At 36.9% G+C, this 19301-nt stretch overlaps 2 long non-coding RNA genes across 7 annotated transcripts in view; one reads left to right on the top strand and one right to left on the bottom strand.

Moving 5' to 3' along the window:
• Positions 1 to 19301, top strand: part of LOC101927404 (uncharacterized) — a 121424-nt gene that overhangs the window by 35316 nt on the left and 66807 nt on the right. For all 6 annotated transcript variants that reach the window (XR_935579.3, XR_001753478.1, XR_935580.2 and 3 more), the window contains exons 2-3: positions 17540 to 17612; positions 18560 to 18646. This is a non-coding gene — a long non-coding RNA (uncharacterized LOC101927404). The remainder of the gene's footprint in view (positions 1 to 17539; positions 17613 to 18559; positions 18647 to 19301) is intronic.
• Positions 6080 to 19301, bottom strand: part of LOC107985178 (uncharacterized) — a 125185-nt gene continuing 111963 nt past the window's right edge. The window contains exon 5 of the long non-coding RNA XR_001753480.1: positions 6080 to 6219. This is a non-coding gene — a long non-coding RNA (uncharacterized LOC107985178). The remainder of the gene's footprint in view (positions 6220 to 19301) is intronic.

The following is a 19301-nucleotide window of genomic DNA, read 5'->3' as shown; positions in this document are numbered from 1 at the left end:
GTTTTCTGTGTCCTGTATGGCCTCTGTTTACCCAAAAGGAGGTGAGGAAGACTTAGCATTAGCAACTGTATTCGCTAAAGTTTGGATAGTGGGTATAATCATAGGGAAGTCACATAATTATCATATCATAATTAATCAAACACTGTTTAGACTTCTTTGGGGGTAGGTTTCATTTTGCATGAGACAATGAAAGAATACAATTCTCTTGTTTGTTGTAGATTCATTTAACTGTGGCTTTTATCCACTCTAACAGGGGCAAAGCCACTACATTCTGAGAATGAATTGAACACCAAAAATCATATCTAATAGGAATCTAGTAATATTTCATATAATCCCTGCTATTCTGAGGTATCTAATATCAATTATAAAGTTATGACTCTGATATTTCAATTTGAGAGCTTATGACAATAAAGATTCCATGGGTAAGGGCTGGTATTTCTCTCCAAAGTAACTCTACGTTTATATGTAACAGCTTGTATTTTTTTAGTTTTATTAATGAGTTGTTTATTCTTACCTGGAGCTTGGGCTGTATTTCCAAATTAAAAATCTCAGTGGTATGACACAGCAGTTATGTATGCTGTTATACCAAATACCCTAAAGAACATTAGATGGCAAATTAATGGGTTCTGATTTTAAACACCAGCCTTAAACCAATCTGCTCTGTCTTCCTCTCCCATGATAATGGCTTTACTTTCAATAATCATCTTCAAAGTAACCATGGAGAGCAGATGTGTGTGTGTGTGTGTGTGTGTGTGTGCCATTTCCCTTCAGTTTTGCCACTTTTAATTTTTCCACCCATTGCCAATTCCACAGAATTATATTTTTTACTCTGCGTTGACAAGTTAAGTTCTATGTAAAAAATTAAAGTTGGATTGACATGCTTTCACACAATAAAAATTTAACACTACCTCACCAAACCTTGTTACCCCCAACTATTTTACCATATAGAGTCTAGAATGTCTTGTAACATACTAGGTACAGGCTCCAGGCCACTTTACCCAGGCTGTGGGCTAAGTTGCTGGAAATGAAACTGAAGCACCTACACACTGCAGCAAATCCAGACAACATCGCTGTCCATTACTCAAACCTCTGTCTGCTGTGGTTATTGCATAGCCCTTTGGGAGTAAGATATTGATCACAACTCTCGGGATGATTCTCATTAATCATGGATCTCACAACAATTTTAATAGAGTACAATCTGCCTTAGTACAACATGACACAAATCAACATTTCATTTTTCTTAAACTACCGCATTCCAGAGAACACCATTAGAGGAAAATAAATCCAGAGCCAGCATCTCAAGTGTAATGGCTCTGGGGTAAATAGCTGAGATAGTTGTTAAATTTTTACCCAGAGAAGCAATATCGATAACGGCAAACAGTAAAAATTTTGGCAAAGAAGTTAATAAATAAATGTTTATCACGTATTGGAATATCTTGCAATGGTTAAAATATTAAAATGTTAAAATGAATTAATCAATGTGTCCTAATGGTTGATGACTTTATAAAGCATAAATATGAATGAATATAAATTAGGTGAGGCTCTTGAAAATAACTGAAATGTGACTTTTGAAAGACAATCCAAAATAATTGCATATATTGTTTGTGGGGACAATGTTATCATAAAATTCACAAACACTCCAACTAGTGGTTCTCTATTCAGATGAAGAGAAACACTAGACAGCAAAGTATTTTGCTGAATCAGTAACACATTGTTTATTTTCCAAAAGACATACCTAAACAAATATAGAAGATGTTAACATACGCCTAATTTTTGTGTTGGTTACAAGAAAGTATACCACCTTGTTTTATATTATATTTTCTACACATTAATAATATTCCAAGCCCAAAATAAAACAAACACCAGAGGTGAATGGTATAGACTGAATTGTGTCCCTCCAATTTTGTGTGTTGTAGCCTACGAAATTGTGACTGTTTTTGAAGACAGCACTTCTAAGAAGGAAATTAAGGTTAAACGAGGTTATAAGGTGGGAGCTTTAATCCAACAGGACTGGTGCCCTTATGTAAAAAACAAGAAGACACAAGGAGTTTGAGTGCACAGGGAGGTCATAGGAGGACACAGCAAGAACGTGACCTCTACAAGCCAAAAAAAGGGGCCTCAGCAAAATCCCACCTTGCCAGCACGTTCATCTTGGACTTCTCCACCTCCAGAACTGTGAAAAATAAATTTCTGCTGTTTAAACCACACAGTCAGTGGTATTTTATTAGGGTAGCCCTAGCAGACATTCTTTATTTAGTTCATTCCATGATTTTGACCAAAATTTGTCTTGCTAGTGTTTTCTCAAGTGATCTTTCGAGCCTTTCCAAGTGCCATGCCATCTCATTTCTTTAAAAACTATACTTCTGCCACGTTTTTCTCACTCTACCTTGAATGCAAATATGACTGCTTTTCCCCACCTCTTCAGAAAACCCCTTTGTAGCTTTTCTCCCCGTGAAAGAATTGTCCTCATTCATTTGAGCACATGTTTCCTTTCTTCTTTTTTATTTTGACTTGCCTTTTGGCATTTTGCACAGTAAATGTTTACACACTTCTCTTTTAAAAAATGTATTTTATAATTTAAGTTAATCATGCATACATTTTCTGGTTAAAAATATAGGCATTATAGGTAAGATTAAATTATCATTTTACCATGTAAGATCAGAAACCCCTCCTCACACCTCACATCTGGAATGCTTTCCAGGCATGTCCTTTATATATTTAATTATGTTCTCTTTATATGTGTATGTGTGTGTATATCTATATCTATATCTATATCTATATATAATATAGATATATATAAAACAAAATATCACACTTCTATTTTGGAACTTCTTTTTATGACTTAATAGTATATTGGGAAAATCTATGCACATTTGTAAACCAGGTCTACCTTTTCTTTCTTTGCTGACCGCATAGCTTGGCGTTATATGAATAAACAACAGTGGACTTAGTGACTCTTTTGTAAATTATTATTCAGGTTTTAGCCAAAGTTTTTCTGTTATCACAAAGTTGTTTAATGAGCTGATAATTATTTGAACATATAAGTATCCCTAAAAATCTATTTGCAGGTGAAAGGGTATTAACTTTTTTTTAATTTAATTTTATTATTATTATACTTTAAGTTTTAGGGTGCATATGCGCAATGTGCAGGTTAGTTACATATGTATTCACTAAATAAATGGTTCTTAATGCACCTGTTTCCATGTGATTGGTCACCAACGTCTGCTCAATGTTACTTGTTTAAATTCTGCAGCAAATACATTAATCATCTCTTTCCAACACTCACAATCTCATAGGGAAAGCTCATTTTATTCTCACAATATCCCTGCCAAATATAGGTATGTATACATATATATTACTTCATTTTATATATGGGAAATAAGCTACATGGCTTGATCTGGGACTAACGTCACCTAACTACTAGTCTATTTAGCCTTAAATATGTGTATAAATTCCCTCAAGTGAACAACATTTTTTTAAAAAAATCAGAAGGAATAGTTTTATAACAAATATGTTTCCATGAAAGTTACATTTTAATTAAGTATATAAGCAATATATATACTATGTAATTAATATCATAAATATTATATACGCCATGTAATAGCATGTTCTATTCTCATAATGTAAAAAATAAGCATTTAACGTAAAATTTCTTGAGTTTTCAAGTATCAGGAAAGCATTTAAAAGTAATTAGTGGTTATTGTTATGCTTATATTTGTGTTATATTTATATTTATTTTTGAAGTAAAGCTGTCTCATAAATGTGATTTATATAAAACATATTTGCTCTGAAATACAGATAAGAAATGCATAAGACACAGTCATCTATATGACACAATTATTTTCATCTGTTATTCTAAGTTTTAATTGTATTTCTCCTTCATTCAAGTGAAGATAATAGCTTATTTTAATTTGGGGAATAATTGCTACAGCTCATAAATTACTTGCCTCTCTTCATTTTTAAGAGATGAACTTTTATACTGTTTCTGTGTACTGCAACCTTTTAAAAGTTATGAGTAACTGAGCGTCTCTTGATTAAATGTGAACAATGAGGCAGGAGGGGTCGAGATTGCATTAGAAATCCAGTGTGTCTCCTTCTTCCGAAGCATAGATGTCAGAAAAGTAAAAAAAAAGTATGAGATTAGCATTATAAACAAAATGAGTTTCTTTCTCTCTTTCTTAAGTCTTATGACCTCTCGTCTGCTTTATTATAACCTCAACCTAGACCAAGTTTTTCTATGAGGGTCAGGTAAAACAAATTTAGTACATTATTGGAGTTTTCTGTACTGGCTGCTTTAATACCTACCTCTTCTTCTCTTGCTGCAACCTAGTGAAATAAAAATACACTTTGTCAACTTGTTAACCTGTAGAGCTTCCCTTGTGGGTGGGAGGGGTATAGAAAAATTTGAAGTAATCTTGAGAAACTGATCATTTTACAAATGAATGATACTGGAGATGAAATAATTAATAATGGAGTGACAGCCTCGTGACACAAAATCATTTTGGACAGTGATACAGGGAGAGGAAGGAGGATTGATTTTAGCTATGGACATGGGGAGTGTTGCTTTTGGGAGAGAGTGTGGAAATGAGGTTATTAGTAAGTCTATAAATTTTTTATACAGTGAAAACCTTTTTTTGTCAGGTTTCTGCCTAAAACTGGTATTAAAGCGTTGCACTGCTTTTCAATGCTTTGGAGACTGGATTTGTAATTTTTAATTTTAGCGTGACACTCTGCTGACTTAAGTCCCAATTTTGTCTTGTTTTATCCAGGTAATATTTATTTCCTGCTGCAAATGAACCAAAAACAAAACAAAAAAAAAAGCAAAAAAAGAAAGAAAGAAAGAAAGGCTATATCTTCCCATAGTTTAATTGCCCAAAATAAAACAACAAAAGTCCTTTTTTGTAGTCTGCATTCCTAAGACAGAACACTGTTCGGCCCATTTTTCCCAGTTGATTTATCCTACCATAATTGCCTATTATTGGTGGGAGAATAGGATACAGAGGTAGAAAGATTGCTTCACATAAATATTATTAAAGGGATTTAACTGGGTGTGTGAGAGCCCAGTTCTTAAAGAAGATTCCTTAAAGTAGATTCTTATACAACTCATGATTTTCTAAAGGGCCTGGTGCTCTTTGATTAGATAATATTCCTCATCACTTACTCAAAATTGTTTATTATCTGCCCAAGAAATGCACTAAATCATTAGATATCAAGTTTATGAAGGCTTTTACATATAAAATGCAATGACCTTACTATTCTTTGTGTATCTAGTTGCTTCTCATTTAATTATACCACACTGCTGAAAGAGTAAACTGTCCTTTTCTTTGTCTCTTTTTTTTTTGTGTGTATATACATTTCAAAACCCTTAATTATTATCTTGCCCTTATAGTAAAATCATGAGATTTGTCACTGAAGTCCTTGCCTCATTGGATCAGACTCAACCCCCTACTCCATCTGGTTTAATGTCCTGCTCCCAATACATTGTATTTTGTGTTTTATAGTTTCCAGCTTAATGTCACAGAGCTCCACATGCCAGAAATGCAACTGGGGTGTGTGTGTGTGTGTGTGTGTGTGTGTGTGTGTGTGTGTGTGTGTGTGTGTGTGTGTGTGTTTTAAACTAGAAGGGACCTCCAAATAATCTAAGCAGGCTCTATTATTTTTTCCTATAAAGAAATATTAGGCCAGAGTGTTTAATTGACTACTTTAAGATCCCAGTTAGCCAATTGAAGAGGTAGGAAGAATATGTATGTTTTCTAGTTTCCAGGAAGCCACATCACAAAGACTACTACACCAATAGCACCAGTCTCCTCTTTTCTTTTTTTTTTTTTCCCCAGTTCACAGTAAGCAACGTGTGTATTTATTAGCTATGGGAAAAAAGACAAAATAAAGTTAACTCAGAACAACAACAAAACTTCTTGATTTTGTATTTCTGTGTTGAGATGGCAGATACCAATAAAAACTGGCCAAGTTTCAAATCTCATCTGCCCCCTTGTCAAGGACGAAGACCTCACAGAAAAGTTCAAATTTTTATGTCATAGAAGAACAAAATTTGAAAAGAATAAACTGAAAGATGTTATGGAATAATAAACACAATCCCTGGGACAGAAAAGAAAAGAAACAGAATGATACAAACCACACAAATATTAAAGGATGACAATAATTAACAAATCAACTTACCTAACTAAAATCTTTCAAAGGCTCAACAAAATGACAGTAAGCCTGGAAAAAATAGAAACAGCAATTGGAACTTATCTCAGTGACATCAATACTCTGCTTATTAAAAGTAATGTAAATAGCTCCAAGAACGGAATGATGTAGCCTGTATCATGGATATTTCAAAGAAAAAAGCTCTGGCTATGTTATTTAAATCAGAGTATTTAATACTAGGTATTAAGTACTCATTAGTTGTCATGTAAACTCAGCTACTCATGAAAGAAAGGAAGTCTGAGTAAAGACTATAAATGACCTGTTTATCAGATTAATCCAACTGAATGATTACTTGCACTTGGGTAATACACATAATTCCTTAAGGCCCCAGTGTCTGTCTTATATGATACAGAAAATCAGACTTTTTTAGAGTTTTAAGCATAAGCTTAGGTATAATATGTATAATAATTGGTTCATGTTACGTGACATAAATAACTGTTATTTAAAAAATAATATAGAAACATTGATTTTAGTAGTATATTTAGCATTTCTAAAAACTCTGGTTTTTAAAAAATGTGGTCTATTTTCTCTAAAAGCACTTCCTGGTAGTTCTCTTACAATTGCCAAACAAAACTTCAGCAAAAAATTCAACTTATTGGGAAGGAAAAGTATAGATTATTACAATCCCAACCAAATGTATATCAAGAGTAACAGATAAACACAATGCAATTCTGGCCCAATTGGAAGAAATTCCTGGAAAGCAAAACAATTCTCTACAAATCTGTCAAAACATGCAAATTAAGTAGAGAATTTTATCTGACCAGATTAATGGTTTTTTACCATTAAGCTGCTAGGAAACTGGCAGGACTTACTTCCTAATTCTGATAAAATGTAGTGAAAAATGTCACCCAAACAGCAGCTGGTGATGAAAGCAATCCCTAGCTGCCCTAATTGCTCATTAGCATAAGACACTCCCCCCGCCCCCCTGCCCCGCCAGTGCCATGACAATGTGCGTGTCACACCAATGACCTGGAAGTTACCTCTTCTTTCCATGTCAATGACCTGAAAGTTACTGCCACTTTCCTAGAAAGTTCTGAAAAATCTGCCCCTTAATTGGCATTAACCTACACTTAATTTGCATGTAAGTAATAGCGGGTAAAAATGGGTATACATAGAACTAGCCAACAGCCCACAAGTGTGGCTCTGGGCACACTGGCTATGAGTTGGCTCTGCTGGGCAAGGAGGAGATCTGGTTCAATAAGTGATTGCTGTTTAACGCCGCCACCTTGCTCTTGAATTATTTCCTCGGTAAAGCCAAAAATTCTCCTGGGCTAGTTACTAATTATGAGGATCACTTGCCCAGCTACATCATTGTGGCAACCCTGAAGGGACAAATATAGTGAGAAATGGGGCAAGATGACAAGATGGTGAGACAGCCATCAGTGAGTCGGCAAGACAGTGATCGGCACAGTGAGATGACAGTCAGCTTGATGGCAAGAAACGGAGATGGAAATCTGACAGGTAGATGTCAAGAGATAGTGACTTTAACAATAAAGATCTTCTAACCCTGCAGAGCTGAAACAGTAACCAAGGCTCTTTTAAGAGCTGTCATACTTGCTGACATGCAGTGGAGCAGGGAGAATGGTGAGCAGCCACAGTACAATCTCATGTGAGACACAGCACTCTGGCCAGGTAGTTGCAAGAGTATACACGAGTTCCCTTGTGGCAGCCAAACTCATCCAAGCCAGGGGCCTAGTTACAAACCAGTCATCTCCATTTGGCTCCAGCAGATGGGTGAGTGTCCCCACTGACCCTCCTCGCATCAACATTGGGTGAGCCAGAAAATAAGGCGTTTGGCCAGGTAATCAATTCAAAGTCCCCTTTAGCATATCTGACCAACTATAATATATACTTTTTCCTCTTCTCTCAGTCTTTTTTAAAATGCCATTTCATTTTTTCCATCAGTCATTTTATTTTATTTCATTTTTTGCTCTGAAATGTATGTTTTGTTTGCATCATGTTTTGTTTTGTTTTGTTTTGTTGTTTTGTTTTGCTTTAGCTCCTAGCTAACTGTATTTGGGTAATTATTTAAAGCAGGACATTTGGTTGTGAGGTCGCTGTTGTGTTGACTCTGGGATGTCAGAATCACATTGTTCTGTCACCCCAACCAGGCCTTTAGGGTATGCTATTGCCTGCCCCTCGGGGTTGAAAATGCTGAAACCCACAGGGTTTTCAACATTGGTTGCCCCTGGATACTCCAGGGTTTCGGCATGTGGTGTGGGAACTCTAGTTGTCCAGCACTTGGGTAATCCAGGCTTTTTGGCACTTGGCATCATTGGCAGTCCCCTGGATGCTCCGGGGTTTTCAACCTTAGCATTCCTTCTAGGATTGTAGGTTCCAGGCCCACTCCAGGGAAATTTTGCTCTTGCCTTTTTCTGTTTGCTGCCCTAGGGTCCTGTCACTCTATTTTCACTTTTCCTTTTATACTTCGCTAGGTAAAAATATTCCTTTTGTTGCATTTTGCTCACCAGCGAGCACTGTACTCTACTGCCTGCTTGTATCTCACACTCCGTTTGTCTAACACTTCGCTACCTGTACTTATACCTTCTCTACAGGAGGTAAACATCTAAACAGAAAAAAATAACAAGAGCCCAGTTGCTTTTCCTTTTGTTAGACCTTAAAAAATTCAATTCCTGGTAAAGATTCCTGTTAGACATGGAGACAATGGCGAGCATTCCAGAGGACTTGCCACTAGAGTGTCTTTTAGGCAATTGGAGCAAATTCAAATCCGCTCAAAGAAAAAGAAACTCATTTTCTATACCAACACCTTTTCAGTGTAATACAAATTGGGAGATCAAAAATTAGGCCTAAGAATGGTTCTTTACATCATAATAGTGTTTTGCAATTGAACTTAATCTGTAATAAAGAGGGGAAATGAGTAGAGGTCCCATATGTAAACCTTGTATTGCCCTTTACTGCCTCATGTTACTTTTAGGCACTGAGAAGCTGTTTCTAAGGGATCCTCCCATGATGCTGTTCCTAGAAGGCTCATATCCTCCTCAGAGACTCCTCAGTCACCCAGTTCTAAGGGGAGTACTCCCAGTTATCTAATCCAAGATTCCACCCCAGGGTCATTAGGCACACTTCCCTTTTAACCAAATAGCCACAGACTATACCCCTGTTGCCCAAGGAAGTAAGCCCAGACTGTACCATCATGAATGGGGCTCCATATCAGCACCTAAAATCAAACCTTGTACGTTGTGGGAGGTAGCTGATGGAGATGAAAACTTAGAGTACATGTGCCATTTTCTAAATCTGATTTGGTGTTTCTCACGGACAAATTTGGCAGGTTTTCAGATAATCCAGGGAAGTTTATAGAGGAGTTTGTTAAGTTGTCATGTTCTTAGATTTAACTTGGCATGACTTGCTGTCTGTGGAGGAGAAGAGGAGAATTCTGAGTGCCACCCATGAATCTGCAGATGGAGTGGCTGCACATAACAATGGCCATGCCAGTTATCACCTTGGGGGAGATGCGGTTCCAAGTATGGACCCTCAATGGGATAACCAATGGGGTTTCGGAAGATTTGAGTGCAGAAACCACATAGCAACTTTTTAAATAGAAAATATTTTTTAAAGTGTGAGATTAAGCTAATTATAAAAATAGTAGAGAAGTAACTCAGGGGAGAGCCAAAAATCCCACTGTTTTTCAAGGCCCAAACAACCTCCTGGGCATGCATTTTATTACTCAATCTGCCCCTGACATTAGCAGGAAGCTAAAAAACACAGCAATGGGTCCTCAAACCCCTATCAGCCCACCCTGAAACATAGCGTTTGGAGTTTAGAACAATAGAAACAGAGTTGAGGAAGCGAGAAATAGCCAAAAGTGCAGTTGTTAGCAGCTGCTTTAAGCCCCTTCCCCATCTCTGGGTTACCTGTACTGAGGAAGTTTCTTGAGACCTATGTCCGGGTTGCTCAGTTGAAAGCCTCAAACTCACTGCCCCCTGGACCAGAATCAGTGTGCCTACTGTGAGTCAGAGGGCCACTGGCAATGAGAATGTCCTAACCGTTCTTAGTAAGAGAAAAAAAAGCTCTGCCCGACAATACTACAGCTAACCTTCTTTCACTTGCCATTCAATGAGCTGCATTTACTGGGGTCCTGAACTCCACTCCTGACCTGAAGGACACCTTCCTGAAGCAGCAGGCAAGTGGCCCAAACACTTTTTCTGAGTGTCTCTGCCATTGGATAGATTCTTTGATGGCTCAGGGCCATCACGGTCTCCCCTTAAGCAATGTGGTTTTACCCTTCCCCTCTTTATTTGGTAGTATGGGATCCCCTTCTCTGCTTTTCCCTGTCTCTCACACCTATTGGGGAAAACAAAGTTTAGCCAAGTTGACACATACCAATTTTGTGAATAATTTGAATCCAATTATCTTGTATGGTTCACTTTATTGGGTAATGTGTATAGATATTATGTGAATATGTATAGATACATATATTGTGTATACTGTCAAATTGGCTTACATCTAAAAGGCACTGATAAACTAAACAAATAAGCAATTGTATATGACTTGGTAATATATGGGTAAAGGGACTAGTCTGAACTTGTTAGTGTGAATGTTTAAAACACCTTTGAATGGTAACTAGCTTTGCATAGTATCTGGGTTCTCAGAGGTGGTCTAAATAAAACTTTTGAAAGAGAAAGAGTTAAATGCATGTGAATGGAATGGATCCTTAAAGGTGACCATTTTGTTTGATTTGAAATCATAAATCTGTGTAATGAGTCTCATGAAATGTGAAGGAACCTGTGAGTAAAAAAGAGAGATGTGAAGAAAATTATAGATATAAATATATATTTTTAGTAACAAAAGATGTGAAGAACAATTTTATGTGAGAAATAATCTTTTCTGATAAATTCTTATCCTAGAATAAAATGACTAGTTTCTTTAAAAAGAGCTGGTAGAGGGCAAGTAAAAAAGTCCAAGTATGTCATAGATAGCCTGTGTAGATGATAGTAAGGTCTATGAAGGGGATCTTATGAAAGAAATCAGTGTAATTAAAAGAAAATTGTTTATAATATTCTTTCTAAAGAATAGTTTTTGGGCCAGGCATGGTGGCTGATGCTTGTAATCCCAGCACTTTGGGAGGCCGAGACAGACAGATCACCTGAGGTCAGGAGTTCGAGACTAGCCTGGCCAAAGTGGTGAATCCCCATCTCTACTAAAAATACAAAAAATTAGTTGGGCATGGTGATGGGTGCCTGTAATCCCAGCTACTTGGGAGGCTGAGGAAAGAGCATTGCTTGAACCCGGGAGGCAGAGGTTTCAGTGAGCCAAAATTGCACCATTGTACTCCAGCCTGGGTGAAAAAAGTGAAACTCCAACTCAAAAAAAAAAAAAAAAAAAAAAAGAATAGTCTTCATATTAAAACGAGTTTTTTAAGGTATCATTCAGTTTTCAATTCTATAATCTGTTTCTTTTAACATTTCTCTGATTCATATCTAAAAGTTCAATTGTTGTGTCTTGTTGCTTTCAGAACTTTTTCCCTCTGTAGAAGGTCTGAGATAATAACTCTCTCCTTCAGCATTATCGTCAGCTTCTATATCTTTTTTCTCCTTCAGCTATAACTGTTGCTGTGGTCTGATGCTGAAATATTTTATCTTAGAGGTATATAAAAGCAATTTTTTTCAGTATTACTTGATTCTATACTCTTGGTTTCTCTTGATATGTAACCTTATTTTTGACTTTTGGTTTTGATACTTATGTTGCTTTTAAAGGTTTTAACGGCTAATGAATGCCTGCTTTCCCCCCATATTCATCTGCTCTAGTGATATGGTTTTGCTATATCTTTACCCAAATCTCATCTTGAATTATAGTTCCCATAATCCCCATGTGTCCTTGGAGGGACCTGGTTAAGACAACTGAATCATGGGGCTGTTTCCTCCATGTTGTTCTTGTGATAGTGAGTGAGTTCTCATGAGATCTGATTGTTTTATAAGGGGCTTCCCCATTCGCTGGGCACTCATTCTCTGTCCTGCCACCCTGTGAAAACGTGCATTCCACCATGATCATAAGTCTTCTGAGGCCTCCCCAGCCATGCAGAACTGTGAGTTAATTAAACCTCTTTCTTTTACATATTCCCAGTCTTGGGTATGTCTTTATTAGCAGCACGAGAAAGGACTAATACACCTATAACATTTAATTAGCTATGAAATCCTGAAAAACTAATTCAGATCTTGATAGAAATAGTCATTCTGACATGCCTCACTCTGACGACTTTTAAAATTTAGGCCAGACTCCAAAGGCCCTTCAATACTATGGAAATAAAGTGTTGGCTCCTTCCACAAGAATTTGCCTTAATAAAACATGGAAGGAAAAATCCCCTGAGGATCATTTACAACCAAATTGGAAAGCCTCCTGTAAGCTATGTGATATTATTTGGCTGTGTCCCCACACAAATCTCATCCATGGTTCCCATAATCCCCATGGGTAGTGGGATGGGCCTGATGGGAGGTAATTGAATCAGGGGCAGTTGCCTCCATGCTGTTCTTGTGAGAGTAAGTGAGTTCTCACAAGATCTGATGGTTTCATAAAGGGGCTTTTCCCCCTTTAGGTCAGCACTTCATCACTTATCCATGATGCCGCAATGTGAAGAAGGACATAAATGCTTCCCCTTCTTACATAATTGTAATTTTCCCGAGGCCTCCCCATCCATGCTTAATGGTGAGTCAATTAAACCTCATTGCTTTATAAATTACCCAGTCTCAGGTATGTCTTTATTAGCAGCATGAGAATGGACTAATAAAGTATTGTTAGAGATCCCCACTTCTGTTAGATTTTAGGGAATCACTAGGTGGGTACACCTGTCTGGGGTAAAACAGTTTTTTATGAGTCCCCACAGGCATGACAGGATGATATCAGGACCTACACATGTGAATCCCAAGAAGACTTAAAGCTGTTTTTTTCTCAGGTGTACAATAAGTAGCATGATGTTGTGTGTGGGCACAGGAGCATTAATTTTTCTCTTCTCCTTTTCTACTGTTCTGGCAAACTGCCTCCTCCAGGGAAACACCTCTTTTGTCCTCTTTGAGAATAGAAGCCACTCTAAGGACCAACTAGACACCATGCTGCCTCTACTAATCCTCTTGCTCTCCAATTAACCTAATACAGTGTAGGAGGGGGAAAAGACTTCATAATAAATGTTTCAGAATTTATAGCATTCATAAAGGGAATCATCTTCAGGGATGTTGGATCTATTATCAACCTTCTTCCACATTTGGCATATCTCTATCCCCAAAATAGAGTTCCACTTCCTGGCACATCTGGAAAATCTCATGACCTTCTCTCCAGACCTTCTCATTAATCATGGTGATCCCAAATTACCCAGAACCCTATTTGTTAAGAGGAAGTCTCTCCCACTGAAAGGATTCCACCTTATCCACAACACCACTATTATCTGGACCTGGGAAGTCGGGTATCTATATCTTCAGTGCAGTAATGATACTATCTTTTGTATTCATTGTTGTGTGAATACACAAAAGAGAAAGCTTCCTTGCCCTAGTGGATAAATTCCCAAGACCACAAGGAGATAAATAAAATCCTACTTATACGCAAGGAAAATGTACATCATGCCTCCTCCTGGATCAAAACATGCACCAGAGAACAACCGCCTGATATGGGAAGGTGGGAGTACTGCCCTCTTCTAGAAAACAAAGATTGCTCAACTACCACCATTGCCCTCTTCTAGAAAACAAAGATTGTTCAACTACCACCATTGGACAAGGGAAAAATATCTATAGAGAGCCAATTTGGCTCAGCAGAGAGACATCACATTCAATAGGGCCTAATTTGTGTGCCAACTGGGCTCATTTTTGTTTGTGGCCATGAGTGGGAAGAAATTCCACTCTGTACCCACTCTTGACTCCCTCAAGAGCCACCTATTTCTTTAAGAGTTGTCATCCCTTGCATATTAAAAACTCGAAACAGGGGTAAATATACATTGGCCACCATTGCCTCTCTGGGGGTCACCATCTATAAACCCATAATACCCAGAAATAAAAATAAATGATTAATAAGATTAATTCTGGCAGGAATTAGGGCATCAATAGGACCAGCATCCCCTTGGAGTGACTTTACTTACCATGAGTCACCCCTAAGAAATTTGACAAAAGCTCTAATATTATTGGCCACCAGCACAGGTCAAGCATGAAAGGAACTTCAAGGATCCCTAGATTATTTGGTAAATGTAGTCCTTGACAACAGACTGACATTGGATTATTGACTAGCTGAACTGGGTGGAGTCTGTGAAGTTATTAATAAGACCTGCTGCATTTATATGAATCACTATAGACAAATTAAGGTTAACATCCAAAAGATCTATAAGCAAGCCACCTGGTTACATAGATATAACCAGGGCACTCGCCCCCACTACATCTCGTCCACTATCAAAAGTGCTTTCACTAATGTCACCTGGTTTTTACCCTTCCTAGGACCTTCAAGAGCTATCTTTTTACTACTAAAATTTGGCTCTTGCTTAACTCCTTGTAATGTTTGGGTCTTCTAGACTCCAACAATTTCATATAAAGACAAGGCTAGCAGAAGGCTTCCAATCCTTCCCTTCTTCTGACCTAGAGAATGAAAACATCCTGCTACTGGGTCCCTTAAATCAGGTATCCAGAGATTTTTACTCCTTCATTCCTAAGCAGGGCCTATGCTTATAAACCCGGAAGAAAAAAATTAGAGAAGATAGGCCTCTGCTATTCTGCAGCCCCCTTAACTTCATGGAGGAGTATCTGATCTCTGAAGGGGGAATGAGGTGGGAGACTGGCAGAACTTATTTCCTGATCCTGACAGGATGAAGTGAAAAAAACAGTCAAAACAAACAGATGGCAACAAAAATGATCCCTAGCTGCACTCATTGTTCATTAGTATAAGATACTTCCACCAGCATCTTGATAGTTTACAAACCCAGAAGTTACTGCCCCCTTCCTAGAAAATTCTGAATATCCTGCTCTTTAATTTGCATTAACCCACTCTTTAATTTGCATGTAAATAACAGTGGATATAAGTGGGTGTAAATACAGTTGCCAACAGTCCACAAGTGCACAATTGCTGCTCTGTATGCACCACCTATGAGTTAGCCCTGCTCTGCAAGGAGTAGCTCTGGTTCAATAAAAGATTGCTGTTTAACATCAGCTCACCCTTGAACTCTTTCCTGGGCAAAGCCAAGCACCCTCCTGGGCTAAGCCCCAACTATGGGGCTGGCCTGCCTACCTGCATCAATGGGAATTTAACTAAAATCTGTTACATGCCAAAGAGTGGCAGGCAAAATAAAATTGAAAAAGGTGAGTAGTCACACACTCTTTATAGGGTACAGGCTAGAGAAATTCTTAGAGAATAAGAGAAAGAGACAGATAACTTTAGATAGGTAGAAACTGAGCAAGTTTAGCTTTAAAAAAATCATCATCATCATCATCATCATTTACTGCAAGAAAAAAATCACTAAACACAAGATTTCTCTATGAACCATATTTACCTTAATGTACCCCCTCTGTGGGAAGGAGGGGCACATCTGGTACAAGAGGAGAAAAGTCCCCAGGGAAGAGATTCAAATGGTTTTAATGAGAAGTGTTCTGAGACCATATAGGTGAAGCTGCTACTGCTTCAATGAATGCTCCTCCACTCTTACTAAAAGTCTTCATCTTTGAAACAAAGACTGATGCAGGTGGCTCTAAGGCAGTGGAATCTAAATTGCCTACATTTACTCTAGCGATAAGAGAGAAAAAAATTGTGTGATTTCTGAATGTTTCCTTGGAATAGTAGACTTTAAAAGATAGAAATGATCTAAATATAAATAGCATGTTGAAATTACATGAATATATATACATAAATGACATCTTTAAAAGTTTACTGTAGGTCTAATTTTAACATATGCCCATCTTTCCTAACTACACACTTTCTCCTCCTGCACAAAAATTGGGTTCTCTGCCTGACATATCCAAGTTTCCCACCTGCAAATGAAAATGAGCTCATCATTTCTCCAAAATTAATCTTATCATCATTCCATGCACGTAAGAATAGTTCAAAATTTAAAATTCACTGATGTGTTTTTCCTTGTCAAAAGGTCAGAATAAAATAGTACAGAAAGTTCTGAAATGCATGTATTATTTCTCAAACAACCTTTTAAGAAGTTTAGCAACCTCATTATAAAATATAGAAATTAATAAATATTTCCTCAATAAGTTATAAAATACATAACAGCAAAGAAGATAATTATAAATAATGGAATATAAAGTCAGGAGTAAGACATTAATGTCCATTGATTTAACTTTTCTTGAAATGCTATCTAAAATATAATTACAAATATAAAATGTGAAATAAGTGCTTCAAATATTGCAAATAGGAAACTAAAACTGTACGTATGTATATTATTTTTGTAGAACTCCAGTCATCTCTAAAAATCTTTCAGAAAAGAAATACAGTGGAAAATTCAGAATGGTTGCTGGTTATGAAGTTAGGAAATGCACAATTGAATAATTTTACAAACAAACAATAACCAGTTTGATAATGAACCTGGCAACAACACTAATGAGCCTAAAATATACACACTTAACTTTAACAGAAAATGTGTGTTACTTATGAAATAAATGGCAACGTCTCACAGAGGGGAATGAAAGCACACCTGAATGAAAGAAATGACCCATCTTAGGGAGATTTAATAGTGTAACAAAACTAACTGTTTTCGCATTTTATTTTTGTATAAGTGATAAGTAGAAACAACAGAATGGTTATTTTTACCTGATGTCAAAATAACTGGTTCAAAGTTACAACAATTATCCAAAGATTCCATGGTTTGGAGATACATTGATTCTGAACGTATATTGCGTGTCTAAAAGGTGACCCAAAGGTCATCTAAAATGCAAATCCCTTCCCTAATTCTTAGCATTTAACAATGCACAATTCCATAGAGTTACAATTTTATGTACCAATAAAGACTACTAACTGGCTAGCCTCTAAACAAGTATTTTATAGTAGAAATTGGTATATTACCAGATACTTTTCAACTTCAATATTCTGTTAAGAAAGGTGCATTTTTCTTCCTATAAATGTAGGCTCAGGATAGTGGCAATTTTAGTATTTGAGTGTCATCAGTGTGCTTTGAGTATGCCACAATTTTTAATTACTCTTATCTTTGATTTCTAATAATAAATTACTATTAGTATATTTTATAGTTATCAGTTTAGTTGTGGGTTGTTTATTTAAACCTGCAACTACATGATGTATTTACATCAACTATATTTATGAACAAAGACTTTCCCCATTATTCAAACTTTGACACATAAGTTCAATGCAGTTTACGAATCTCTTCACAGGAAGATTTTTTTTTTACAAACAGGTGAGAGAAGGAAGATAAACTGGGTGATTTTGCTCACCTAAGAAGGTACACAGATCCAAAGAAAAAGAGATTCGTAAGTATAGACTATATAACCTATATCCAATGGGGAACTGATAAATTTGTGATCACTTATATAATCAATTCTTTTTTCTCCATTTTACCATTTTTAAAAAATTTAGCCACCATACAAATATATGGTTAGTATATTTAGTCACCCTACAAATATATGGTTAGTACAAGATACAAGATATCAAACAGGAACCTTTTAAAGTCAAACTACAAAAAATAGAACATAAAAAACTTGAATTTACAGGCCGTTTATTCACACAAAAAGATTCCCTTAATGGATACCTGTAAAACGCAGGATGGTAGTGGTGAGTTGCCTTATATTTTATAAAGATGGTGCATGGTCCAGGCCCCTGCTGACTCCATTTTCTGTTAAACTCCTTTATCAACAACATATTTATGTGGGAATGTTACCTATATCTTTTCTTCTGCTCTCTCAACTTCAATTTTATTTTTTTTTTCACCACACAATGAACTTGAATAAATCTTTGCACTCTTTCAGAGTAAAGCAAGGCATTAGAAAATATTACAAGGTATAGTTGAAGCAGTATTTCCAATGAATTACCTTATCACTAAAGCAGGGGGAAAAAGAGGTAAATGGAGTGCTGCCCAGCCTCATTCGTGTTTAAAGAATAGGAACCTCTAACCCACATCCCAATGAAGGGGGAGGAGAGGAAAATGCATATTGAAATAATATATTCCATAAAGACACTTATTTAGAAGTGCTCGTATCTCAGGTCTATTTATCGTTATGTGGAAATAATTCCTGTTGTAGGTATAAATGTCCACACATAGCCTGTAATGTGCAGTCTATGAATTCAAATCAGGTATTGCCAGGAAGATGGAGAGATTTTAAACTGAGTGAAGTGTAGGGTTGTTTTCTTTCACATTTTTCATGGTAAAATTGCTTGAGATAGTGCAAAAGCAGCATTGAATTTTCTAATTACATTTCAGGAGAGGTGTCTCCAGCTTCTGATTTTGATGACATCTCCCAGAGAGGACCGTGTTGCCATCACCATCCCAGAGTCTGAAAGTGTCCAGGTCAGAGACGCTTTCACTAAGGTGTCTACATCCTGCAACTATAGATGAATCTCTAACAAGCTGCCTGCTTTGAGACCTATTACTTCCATAATGGGACTCATTGCTTTCCTAAGCAGCCCTTGTAATTTTCAGCAAGGTCCTTTAACTCAGTTAATGTGAAACATTTGTTCATGCCTAATTTGTCGGAGCCCGGCCATAGTTGTGTTCTCCTTGAGTTGCAGAAGGTTGATTGTGGGGGTAAAACGGTCAGCCTCAAGTGACTACATATCTCCGCTGAATTATAGTAATTACTGTGGATTGCATTTGGTTGGTGGATTGCATTTGGTTGTCGTGGAGAGAGGCCCTCCACGACAAGGTTAACAAGCAGAAGGTAACCAGACATCAGAATATAAGTGCCTCATCACATACAGACAATTGTTGACAGTGCATTTTTTTCGTCTCATAATTATGATAAGGTTCGGTAATGGATGCAGCTGTACAATGCCCTGGAAATTAAATTCTAGAATCCATAATGTAAGGAAAATTAGAATACAGTAGCAGTATTTTTCTTCAAATTCTGATATTAAGACAGTCCTTTGCAAATGCTTTAAAATGTTAGATAACCCCATTTTTATGGAACTTTGGTAATTCTCACCTCTAATTCTCACCATTTCAG

The sequence above is a fragment of the Homo sapiens genome, chromosome 18 (genome assembly GCF_000001405.40).
Source record: "Homo sapiens chromosome 18, GRCh38.p14 Primary Assembly".
Lineage (NCBI taxonomy): Eukaryota > Metazoa > Chordata > Mammalia > Primates > Hominidae > Homo > Homo sapiens.
This window is presented reverse-complemented; position numbering and strand designations above follow the sequence as displayed.